Source organism: Homo sapiens, chromosome 3 (assembly GCF_000001405.40).
Source record: "Homo sapiens chromosome 3, GRCh38.p14 Primary Assembly".
Classification (NCBI taxonomy): domain Eukaryota; kingdom Metazoa; phylum Chordata; class Mammalia; order Primates; family Hominidae; genus Homo; species Homo sapiens.
Window position 1 is genome coordinate 72,031,409 of NC_000003.12, and position 12,564 is coordinate 72,043,972.

General features: G+C 45.4%; 1 long non-coding RNA gene across 1 annotated transcript in view; it reads right to left on the bottom strand.

The window, feature by feature from the left end:
• Window positions 1-4,110: 4,110 nt before the first annotated feature.
• LINC00877 (long intergenic non-protein coding RNA 877) overlaps window positions 4,111-12,564 on the bottom strand; it is a 64,937-nt gene continuing 56,483 nt past the window's right edge. Inside the window, exon 7 of the long non-coding RNA NR_104116.1 lies at window positions 4,111-5,112. This is a non-coding gene — a long non-coding RNA (long intergenic non-protein coding RNA 877). The remainder of the gene's footprint in view (window positions 5,113-12,564) is intronic.

Below are 12,564 nucleotides of genomic sequence, written 5' to 3' on the forward strand. Positions count from 1 at the left end.
TTATTAATATGTCTACGTTGAGTTGACCAAAAGAAAAAAAAACTGGCGGCATGAAGTTTGGAAGGTAAAAGTGAATCAACAGCCATTACTCTCTGAAGATCATTATGCTTGGATATAGTAAGGGACGGATGCAGAGGTATCAGCAGATCTAGTTTGTCTTCACTTTTTCCCATGCCACTTCTTTCCAACTGTCAGGCTTGTTACCAACAGTGCCCCAGGCCCCCCACGTCTCTGAGACACCAGTCTTCTACAGACTGCCTCACTGGGTTCCTCTTTGCTGTCTCACCACAGCAGCAGGATGTGCCTGCCCTCTCCTGTACTCCCTGGCAAACTCCTACTTCCTCGCTCACACAAGTGACTCAGGAGGACTGGTTGGTGGCTTTACTCAGATCCTCCTACTTTCCCTTTCGTCCCATGGTTCTCAGCTTCTCCCACAATTGTATAAGGTCTTCTTAAACCACAGCCCTATTGCATAATATTCTGGATTCAACCCTGAGTGATACAAGAATCAAATGAAATCATGGATCTAAAGCAATTAGGACAGCATCAGGCACATAAATTATTAGTTATTTTGTTATCATTATCATTGCTTTCATTGCTATTAATGCCACAGGACTTAGAGACCCTGCTTGTCTGATTGCCTCATTCTGCAGAGGAGTAAACTGAGATTCTGCCAGGTGAAATGACTTGCCCAGGGTCATGCAGCTCAATTGTGACCCAGCCAGCATCAGGACTCAGGCCTTCTGATTGCCAGTCTCACCCTTTTTCACAGACTATACCCTGCTGCACAAATGAGCCTGGCATTCTGGTTATCACCCGATCGTTATGATGCTGTGGGCTGCAAATACAAAACCTAAGTCAAACTAAACAATATGGAAGGCTTATTGGCTCATGTAACCAAAATGTTGAGAGACAAGACAGATTTCAGACTTGTTATCATAATGTCTGCAGGGCTAAGCTTCATTTCCCTAGAGTTCTCTCAACCCTCCTTTCTGCTGTATCCTAGCCCTGCCTCAACTCATAGAAGCAAAAATGGCTTCAGTAGTTCCAGGCCTTACACTTCCAAGCTACAGCTATCCTGAGGAAGAGTCTTTGTAAGCCAAAGAACTGTGATTCAATATGATGGGGCCTGTTTAGTTCACACATCCACCTTCACCCAATCTCTCTGGTGGGAGGTGGTGTGGTGGGATGAAAGGCAGTGATTGGCCTAGTCTGAGTCAGGTGCTACAAACCTAGAGCTGGCAGGATGGGAGGAAGGGGCGGGGAGAGTTCGCTTCCCTAGAATTACACAGAGCCCTAAATAGAAACTGGGGGTGGGGGTGGGGGTGGAGGTGGAAAACTGGAAGTGAATGCTGGGGAAGCAACATTTGCAGAGGGAGTGTTACATTTCTTGCCCTAGTATCTTTTCCCAGTGCTCTTAGTCGGTATTTGGATAAAGCCAGAAGGGCACCGTTTCCAAAAGGAATACACAGTGGTAGGTGATGTATTTAAAAGTAATGGTCACGTGATTAAATATTTATGGCCACTTAGTTTAATGTAAAACACCCATCAACCATTTCTGCTGAGTTTGTCCCATGTCCATGAATCATGGGGGTGGTGGGGGCATTGGGGCTGCGTGTCACTCCCGGTCTATGTCATATGAATTAGCCTAAAAAACTGAGTGCCATCTACCTGCTTGTGGGTAATATCCCACCATACAGAACTGTGGAGTAAGAAATCTGCCAGGTTGTAATAATGTTGTCTTTCTTGATAGCGCAGGCCAAGTAGAGAAGTAGGAAATTTTTCCTTTACCTTGAAATTTGGTTCTTTTTTGTTGGTTTTGTATCATTACAACTAATTTGACATTGTAGGGTAGGAAAAAAATAATTTTCCCTCTAATCTTCTAAGCTCTCAGCTGAGACCCCCTGTAACAAAAGACAGATTAACAAGGGTAAAACAACAGAGTGTTTTAACATTTATACCTCACAAACACATGGGAAATACCCCGAGAAAAATAAGTCACTCTCAAAGAAGTGGCCTAGAACTCTGCCTTACATAGCATCTTCAACTAGAACAAAGTAAAAAGGGCGTTGGGGAGGCAAGTTATGGGGAAGGTGACCAGGAAATGAATGGTAAAAAAAGAAGTTTTGTTTTGCAGAATTTAATTTGGTTCCTTCTCCACTGATAAGAGTTTCTTGGCCAGGTGCAGTGGCTCACGCCTGTAATCCCAGCACTTTGGAAGGCTGAGGCAGATGGATTGCTTGAGCCCAGGAGTTTGAGACCAACCAGCCTGGGCAACATACTGAGACCCCCATCTCTACAAAAAATAAACAAAATTAGCTAAACATTGTGGTGTGCGCCTGTAGTTCTAGCTACTCAGGAGGTCGAGGTGGGAGGATTGCTTGAGCTCAGGAGGTTGAGGCTACAGTAAGCCGTGATTGTGCCACTGCACTCCAGCCTGGGCAACAGAGTGAAACGCTGTCTCAAAAAAAATTTTTTTTTCTTGAGATTTAGTCATCCTTTTTCTGGTACAGAGTGGGAGACACCATTACAAATAGAGACTTCCTTTATAGATGCAAATTTCCCTTACAAAAGGGTAACTTCTACTTCATTTCCAGAGCTTCTCTTTTGTTGCTGTGTTTCTCAAAATAATCAGTTCAAAATAATTCTTATGCCAAGGAGGCATATTTTTGGGTGGCATATTCCAGTCCCCTACAACAAATAAATAACACACACTAACATGCACAAAGTTTAGGTTTTCAGTTGAACGAGTATTGATAATTGTATACACCTGGGTAACCACTAGCCAAAATAAGATACAGAACATTTGCTTCATAGCTGAAAGTTCCTTGATGTGCCTTCTGAGTCAATCCCCAACCCCCGTACTAAGAACCACTATGATTTCTCTCAATGTAGATTAGATTTTTATGTCTTCTTGGATTCTACTTAAATGAATGAGGTAGTATGCACTCTTTTATGTCTGGCTTCTTGTAATCTTTTTGAGATTCACTACATTGCTGTGTGTAGAAGTAGTGTGCTCCTTTTAATTGCTGAGTAGTGTTCCATTGTATGACTCTGCCATAATTTTGTTTATCCACTCCTCAGAGAATGGACATTTAAATTGTTCCCAATTTTGGCTGTTATGGAAAAAATGCTGTACACATTCTTGTATAATTCTTTTTGTGCGATGTTTTTATTGCTCTTGAGAAAATACCCAAGAGTGGACTCGCTGGGTCTTAGGATGGATGGATGTTTAATTGATCAGAAATTGCTAAATAGTTCTCTAAAGTGGTTGTGCCATTTTACAATCCCACCAGCAGGGTATGAATGTCTTGGAACTTGATCCTAATTTCTGATAGAGACTCAATGATGGCATCTTTGGATCTCAAAGGGCCATTTCTTCTCAGGTGAGAAGTGAGGTACTGCATGTGGGAACCCAGAGATGGCAGCTTCTGGGGAACAGCAGTGTACAGTCCTATTATCTTTGATCTGTTCCCACCTCTGATCCATGCCCACCCACCCCTGCTCTGCTCTGTATCGCAGGAGGCTGACCCCTGCAGGCTGTGCTTCTGAGGATCCCTGGTTTGTGGCTCCTGGTTGGGGTGACCAATGGGAGGTGCTGGATTGGGTGTGGTCAATGGGAGATGCTGAGTTGGGTGTGTCCATTGGGAGGTGCTGAGTTGGGTGTGACCAATGGGAGGTGCTGGGTTGGGTGTGGCCAATGGGAAGTGCTGGGTTGGGTATGACCAATGGCAGGTACAGAATTGTGTGTGACCAGTGGAAGATACTGAGTTGGATGTGTCCACTGGGAGGTGCTGAGTTGGGTGTGACCAATGGGAGGTGCTGGGTTGGGTGTGGCCAATGGGAAGTGCTGGGTTGGGTGTGGCCAATGGGAGGTGCTGAGTTGGATGTGGCCAAGGGGAAGCTCTGCGGTGAGTTTGAGAGGTGGGAGGCAGGGAAAAGGAAGAATCTTTCTCCCCCACACTTTCTGTCTCTGGCAGCTTTTCTTGGAGCCATGGTATGTCTTCCCTGGCAGCAGCTTCTGCCACACAGACCTGCCATGGCTTCAGCCTCCTCTGGATGACTCCACCTCCTGAATACAAGTAACACCATCTCTTTTTTTATTTTTTTATTTTTTACCTCTCTATCCTAGTAGTGGTCATGTCTTCCTACTGTGGCAAATCCCTGGGTTACCTCACAGTTCCCTCTTGTTTGCCTCCCAGCCCCTTCCTTCATCTGTGCAATCAGCTCCTTACATTAAATTTCCCTTTGTTCAGATACTTAGAGCAGGTTCTGTTTTTTCTGGTTGGACCTTGACAGATACACACAGCATCAAGGATTAACAGAGACGATTTCAAGGCCAAATCACATCTGAGGGCTGCCAGGCAGATTTATTATCAAATCCTTAAACTGCAAAAATAGGACAACCTTCTTCAGAAACACCATCTGGTACCACACTATTCCTCTAATGTCTAGCCCAAATCCCTGCTGTGATGAAGTTTGCATCTGATAACCAGATAGAACCAAGCCACTCGGCCTCAAGAGCTAACGTGAGCATAGGTGTTAGTGGGTCCATGGGCCATGCCTTAGTACTGGCAGGAGACATTATTATGTTTATGGGAGAAGGAAAGGAAAACGTTGGGAGGAAAAGGGATATTTCTAAGCAGTCACCATAATTGGATGGATTGACCCCAATTTTAGGTTGTCAGGCCACATGCTTCGTTTTCAAGGGAGGAAGTCATCTCTGTCGCTCCTCTGCCTCTTTCTTTGGGACTTAAAACAGTGCCTGCCGTGTAAGGAGATGATAAATACTTACAGAATTGAATTTGTTCATTCACTCATTCATTATGTACTAAGCACCTGGTCAATTGTTGATTGCAAGTGATAGAAACCCAACTCAAATTAGCTTTAACAAAAAAGGAATTATGGTAACCTACATGATTCAAAAGTTCAAGGATATAATAGCTTCAGACATGGCTAAATCCAGGTGCTCAAATGAGGCATCAGGAGTTGTTTGTCCATTTCTCAGCTCTGCTTTCCACTGTGTTGGCTCCATTGCAGACAAACTCTTCCAAGGGAGGGTAGTGAGGAGGTCCTCAGTAGCTCCCCGCTGATATTCTATCAGAACAATAACTGTAGGGGAAAGAGAGAACGTGTCTTTTAATATATTTTTAGCAAAAATCTAGTGCTTGGCATTTACCAATTCTGATTGCCTCGGGTCTCCTGCTTCCCCTTGGCCAGGGCAGAAACGAGGGCACTTTGAATTAAACTCCCCCTGCCCCTCAGACTGTCTGCAACGCGGGAGGGGTGGCTCCCCAAAGGAAAAACAAGAATGCTTTTATCAGCAGAACAACAAATGGATGTTGAACAGGTAGGAACTGCAAATGGCCACTATGGGGACACTGATGTGATAGGCACTGTGGGCGAGGGGCAACAGCAGGGAACCCACCAGTATTTCTGTCCTCGTGGTGCTTATGTTCCAGCAAGGAAGCCTGGTGAGGACCAAGTCATTAGACTCAAGGACGTGAACCTTCCATGGTGGAAGTCCAGGATGCAAGAGGAACAGTCTCCTTGAAATGTGAGTTCACAGGCTGCCATTTGAATACTGTAATAGCCTCAGATTTGGACAGGCTGGAAGCTAGAAAACTGGCTTCATGCCCACATTGGACACTCAGAATTTCAGTGATGTCTTCCAGAAATCTTTGCTGAAGCTACAGTCTAACAGATTGTGGTTTACAAGAGATGCCAGGAGCCTCTGGGAGAATGGACTGTAAACAATTTGGTCACATTGTGGTGGGGGAAGGGTTGAGACAAGGAGTGGAATCTGTGGGGCTGAAGTGCCCTTTGGTTCAGCTTCCAACTTTCAAGTACATTGGAAATTGTGGAATTTTTTCTTTTCTAAAAAGCTTTTAAATTTTGAGATACTTAGTTTCACCTCAAATTGTAAGAAGCAATACAGAGAGATCCATGTTTCCCCAATTTCCCCCAGTGGTAACACAAGATGGCAAAATTTGTGTTAATTGGTAACACAGTTGGTTGAATGATAACATTTCAATCAATCATAGCAAGTTGACATTGATCACTTCATTGTATCTTTACAGAATTCTGGTTGAAGGGATTGATTCTCTTTCCCTCCCTCCCTCCCTCCCTCCTTCCTTCCTTCCTTCCTTCCTTTTCTGTTTCTGTGTTTTTGCTTCTTTCATTTGGCTTGAGTTTGATTCCTCCTTCTGGATAGGTCTTATCTCCCTAATTGGATGTTGGTCTTTGTCAAGTGGCCCTGTGTCTTCTGTGCTTTGCATGGTGCCAGGCGTTGAGTTCAGGGATGGCAAGCCCTGATGCCTTTATTCATACATTGAATACTTGCTTAATGCACACCTACTTTGTGCATAGCGTGAGGGAGACAGTGGTGAATCAAAGAGACACAGCCCTGTCTTCATGGAGCTTATAGTCAGCAAGGGGAAAAAGACTAGAGAAAGAAACAAGTGAGCAACTAAATAAACAAGAGGGCTACAGATTGTAATAAAGGCTGTGATGGAAATGACATGGAGATGCGTTAGGGAGGGAGGTGCACTGTGCTACTTCAGGTGGTCTGGAAGGCTGCTCTGATGGCTGACTTCTCATATAAGATATGTGTAGCTGGAGACTTGATGTTTCACCACCTCCCTTTCAATGCTTGTGACAGCCATCTTTAGTCAATCAATGCGGTAGTACCCCATATGCACTAGAAATATGTTCCCAGACCCCCAGTGGATGCCTGGAACTGTGGAATGTATGGAAGCCTGTATACAGTTTGCACTACTTTCCTTTCCCTTCTTCACAATTTTATGGATAGAAAATCCATTCTTACCATAGATCTTAGCAACCTCAGCATAGGATTTTTTTTTTCTTTCCACAAATTGAGAACTTTCACCATTTCACTTAAAGGAAGCACTTTATGGCTTCTCTTTGGCAATCTGAATCACCAGCATCACTACTCCTGCCCTTTGGGGCCATTATTGAGTAAAGTAAGGGCTCCTTGAACATAAGCACTGTGATGCCATGACAGTTGGCCTGATAACTGAGATGCTCCTAAATGACTAGTGGGCGAGTAGTGTATACAGTGTGGATACTCTGGACAAAGGGAGGATTCAGGTCCCAGGTGGGACAGGGTGGGGAGGAGCAGCATGATATTTCATCACATTACTCAGAACGGCGTACAATTGAAAACTCATGAATTGTTTATTTCTGGAATTTTCCATTGAATATTTTCAGACTAGTTGACTGCAGGTAAGTGAAACAGAGGATAAGCAGGGGACTGCTGTATATACTTTTAGCAGCCACTCGTAAGGAAGTAGATGTGACACATAAGATGAAACTTCTTTGCCTCCTTGACAGAATCATTCCTCAAGGAACATTGGGCAATAATGAACAAATCATTAGGCTGGGTGCGGTGGCTCTGGCCTGTAATCCCAGCACTTTGGGAGGCTGAGGCGGGCAGATCACTTGAGGTCAGGAGTTCGAGGCCAGCCTTGCCAACATGCAAAATCCTGTCTCTACTAAAAATACAAAATAATTAGCCTGGCATTGTGACACATGACTATAATCCCAGCTACTCAGGAGGCTGAGGCAGGAGAATCACTTGAACCCAGGAGGTGGAGGTTGCAGTGAGCCGAGATTGCCCCACTGCACTCCAGCCTGGATGACAGAACAAGACTCCTTCTCAAAACAAACACCACAAATCATCCTCTTGTAAGAAATGTCACAGGCTGGGCGATATGGCAAAAGCCCATCTCTACAAACAAAAACAAAAATTAGCGGGGCATGGTGGCACACGCCTGTAGTCCCAGCTACTCCAGAGGCTGAAGTGGGAGGATCACTAGAGCCCAGGAAGATGAAGCTGCAGTGAGCTGAGATCCACTCCAGCCTGGGCAACAGTGCAAGACCTAGTCTCAAAAAAAAAAAAAAAATGGGTGGGGGGGCGCAGATGTTATGGAACTCATCAGATCAATAAAGAAATAAATCCAAGGAAAGCCTTGAACTTGCCTAAAATTTCATAGCTAGGAAGGGCAGAATAAGGATCAGAATGTAGCTGAACAGACACTAGCATAACCCAGGCATTCTGAAACTTGGGTTGCAAAAACATTACATGGCTTCATATGGTAAAAGCAGATTCCTGCCCTTGCCCCAGAGAGTCAACTGTGGTAGGTCTTGTGGGGGACTCAGGAGGCTGCATTTGCAACAGGCATCCCAGGGGCTTCTGATGTGGGTGATCCACAGACCAGACTCTCATAATCATTAGTCTATGGGCCACCAATTTTGCCTCGTTTCCATAACTAACCAAAGGCTCCTTCTCACGGCTGCATCTAATTTACCCACTTATTCCTGTCCGGAGGTCCAGGGCCCCCAGGTGTCCTGTGCCACTGGAAACTCTAAGTAGGGAGGTGAAATGCTGACCTAGCCCTGTGCGATTTACCTCCTGCTGCCTTCTCCAGCCTCACTGTGCTCCCCATTCTACTTGCTGCAACTCCCCAGCACCGTGCTCCCCATTCTACTTGCTGCAACCTCCCTGGCTGCTTTTCAGTCTCTGGGATACAATGACCTCAACAAGCACCTGCTGTTCCCTGCATCCAGGACATCCTTTTTTCTGTCTCTTTACCCTCTGAGCTCCTACCCACTCTTCAGATCCTAGAGCTTGTCCCTTACGGGGGGAAGACTTTCCTTTTCTTCCTGGCAGGAGCTCCACTAGGCCATAGAATTAATTTTGTTCAATTTAAGGAATGGCACCCCTTTCTTAAGACATTTGGGATGCCACATTCCAGAAAACTGTCATAATAAATATTCAAATTTATAATGTCTATGATGTGACTGGCTCCCCCTAGAGTTGTGCAGTGTACAGCCTGCCCAACCATATGGGAGAGTCCTGTCTTGGTCAGTTTCCATCTCATTGCATCTCTTTGCATTAAGAACTTCCCCCTTGTGGGGGGCACTACTCTCAGTTGCAACCTTAAATTGCAGTATTGATTATTGTCTCTTTACCCTCCCATGGTGTATATAGAGACTCTGTCTGGCTTTATCTATGTTTGGATCCCCAGGACCTAGAGTAGTGCTTTGTTCATACAAATCATTTAGTCAATGCTTGAAAAGCTTTTGCTTCTACACTGCTCTCAAAGTCTCCCTCAAAGAGCTCTTTCTCTGTGTGTCTTTCCTGACCTCCCTATGCTCCCTGGACCCAGGATGTTCCAATTGTAACACATATCACAAAGTATGGCCATTGCCTGTTTTCTTTCCCCTATTTTATTTTAACCCACCCATCCCCTAACACACCAGTAAACTCTAAGCTCCTTTAGAGGAGGGGGCATGCCAATTTGTTCATCTTTTGTCTTCCTCTGACTAGCCTGGTACCTGGCAGTTGCTGAACTGGGTGCTGAATGCCTGGGAGGCGAGAATGCTGCCAGTCTACCCTGAGACTGAGAGGTGTAGGGGGTGATGGCTCTGCTTAGAGGCACCTTGTAGGGTGCCCCTCACTATAAGGACAGCTCCCAGCTCACCCCATAGGGCAGAGACCCCTGTTGTGCCAGCGATTTCTATAATACAAGCCACTTCTCATTCCAACCTCATTGCCTGATATGAGAATGAATTTAGGGTATTGTCTTTCAAAGGATGTCTTTATTCAGTCCCTGCCAGTTTCCTATTCAGTTCCTGCCAATTTCCTACAATACATGGCACCTAACAAGCTTCAAGACCCAGAAGCCAGAGGCAAACAGGTGCCCCAGAATGGGTGGAACTTGCAATCCTGGGTAGCCTGTGAACCCACTTTCCCAGCCTTCACAGTCAGATCCCTGCAGAATAATAAGACCCACAAATCTTTTGTCTGGAAAATTATCTTCCTGTAACACTGGAAGCTGTTACCATGGAAATAAAATAACCTATTAGCCCAAATCTACCAAAACACGGGAGAGGCCCGGCTGCATTTCCGAGGCCCTTCATTAATAAGGAGAAAAGCAGATTAACCTTTAAGAGAATTGACAAGAATGGCCATGACTTGCCGGATTATGATTTTCATGTTGAGTTTATCTGGGCTAATATCTCAGCTTGGAGCAGCCATGCTGAGTGGAAAAGAAAGAAAGACAAGACTCAGTTTGGAAATTCAAATGCCTGCCAGGTTTGGCTGGGCTTAGGTGTGTTTTTGTCTTTTGGTCTTGGCCATCCTGGACTCCTTCCCTCCTATGGATTCCTGGGGATGCCTCCTAACTAGACTAGTACACTGAAGGGAGAGCAATTTTCCTGTCTCCTATTGAGCAGCTGCTGAGAGAGGCACGGAACTGCAGAGGGCTCCTACAGCACAGCCAAGATGCCAAACAGAAGCCGGAGACAGATGGAGCTGAACTCAGCCTGTCCTGGTCTGCCTCCTCCTCCCGAAGTGTCCTCAGTGCCAAATCCAAGACATGCAGGCTGCTGGGAGAGGCAGCAAGGACTTGCCTCTCCCTGTGGCTGGGCACAGAGGTTGCTGGCCCCAAGCAGGGATGCTCCATGATCTCAGCAGTGCCCAGCAGCCCCAGGTACACAGCAACCCAATACCAGGTGGCTAGTAGAGACCTGGTCCTGCACAGTTCACTGCTCCCACACCTGGTCAGCAAGAGCTGTCAGCATCTTAACTACTGGCAGGTGGGATGTGCCAGTGTCTTGACAAGTATCAAGAGAGACTCCATCCCAGGGAAACTGACAATGGCCATCCAAAGCTTGGACAGTGCTTGACCACAGGGCACAGATTACTGGGATTTTTTTCTTCCTTCTCTTTTGATACCTTTTCTTTTTGAAGAAAGGTAGGAGAGTGGCTCTGTGAGCATCAGTTATCATTATTAAAGGCTCTGCTGCCTTGGGGACAGTGTTATGTCTTCCTCAGGTGTCTTTCATTGCCTCTGGTTACCGACACTGGGAAATGGAAGGCACCTGTTCATGTGAGCAGTGGCCTTGTGGTCTGAGACATGAGGTGAGGAAAAAAAAAAGAAGTCACCTATTCATCCTCCCATTCATGTTTAACAGGGTTGTGGTAGGGGCTGAGTGGGACTCTGTTTTCCTTGAATAAGCCCCAGTGGTCAGCCTGGGCTAACTGCCATCATGAATGAGTCCTGGATCTCAGCAGCTTCATGCAAGAGCGGGCTTACTTCTCGCTCCCGTCTCAGTCCAATCAGGGGGTAGGGCAGCTTTCAGAGGTCTAGATTCTTTCCATCTGTGACTCACTGTTCCCAGGGCTTTGGAATGCCTCACTGGATCCTAGCATCTTGCTGAGAGTTGGGAGAGGAGAATGTGGACAACCTAGAGGGGAGGTTCCAGGGGGCAGGCCACCTGCTCTTCTCCCATTGGCTAGGCACATGTCTCTCTCCCAGGGATAGGGGGATGAGAAATGTGGTTGAGCCCAGGCAGAAGAGGAGACTTCAGCAAGAGTCTCTTAACACAAATGGCAGATGCAGAGCTGAGAATAGCAGATACCCACTACCCTGAAGTCACAGTAGAGATTCTGAGTATCAGAGTGAAGGCGGTACTAGCTATTGTGCCACGTAGCATTGCCCAAGGTATGCGTGCAATTCAGATCCTTCAATGTGCTTCACATAAATGAATTTCCTTGAGCAGATATGTTTGGAAAACAATGAAAAAGACATGTTTCCTCCTGGGCATTCACATTGTGTGGTAGCATATGAAGGCTCTGACAAGTCCTGCATTAAAGAAAATCTATCATTATTTAAAACATTTCCCACAAGTACTTGACCAGGGACGTGTCATTATTTTTCTGCTTGAAAATCTAGTAACAGTTCTTAGAATCAATGTTCTAAGGGACATAGTTTAAAAAACAGACCTAGTACAATCCTACCTTTTAGAAAATATGTGTATTTTTGGCACACAAGTGCATGAGGCTCAGAATGAGGATTTGACTTACCCAAGATCAAACAGCTTGCCTCAGGAGGAAGTTGCAGGCCTGCGTTAGGTCCCAAGTAGACTGCTCATTTCCCCAAACCTCTCAAATTAGGTCATGACCCCCAGGAACATGAAACTGGCCAGTATATAAGCTACAGATAAGGTACAGCATGAATACAGCACATCTTCTGAGGCGGGGGCGGGGGGTGCTATTTATCCATTCATTTGGCAAATAAATGAATAAACTGTGCCTCAGTTTTCTTACCTATAAAATGGGGATCATGGAAAGATCATGCATTTAAAAGGACTTAGCCCAGAGCTGGGGACTGTGTCTAAAAATAGACAAGCCTGGCCTCTCTCTTCATAGAAACTGCAGACCATAAAGGAGACAGATAGTTAACTAAAAAAATCATGAATTGTGCAAGTACTAAGCTGAAATTGCTCAAGAGACTGATAGTGACAAGTCAGTAGTGGCTGCTGTGGATGGGATGGTCCCAGAGAAGGTTCTCTGAGGGTGTGATGTTTCCACCAACACCTGAATAATAAGGGGGACTTACTATAGCAAAGCAAAAGAAGAGCCCAGTACAGGCATTGCACATAATAGATGCTCAGTAACTATTAGTTAAATGAATGAATGAACAAATGAATGAGTTGTGGATTGGGGTATAATGTGATATTTTGAGGTTTTCAGAT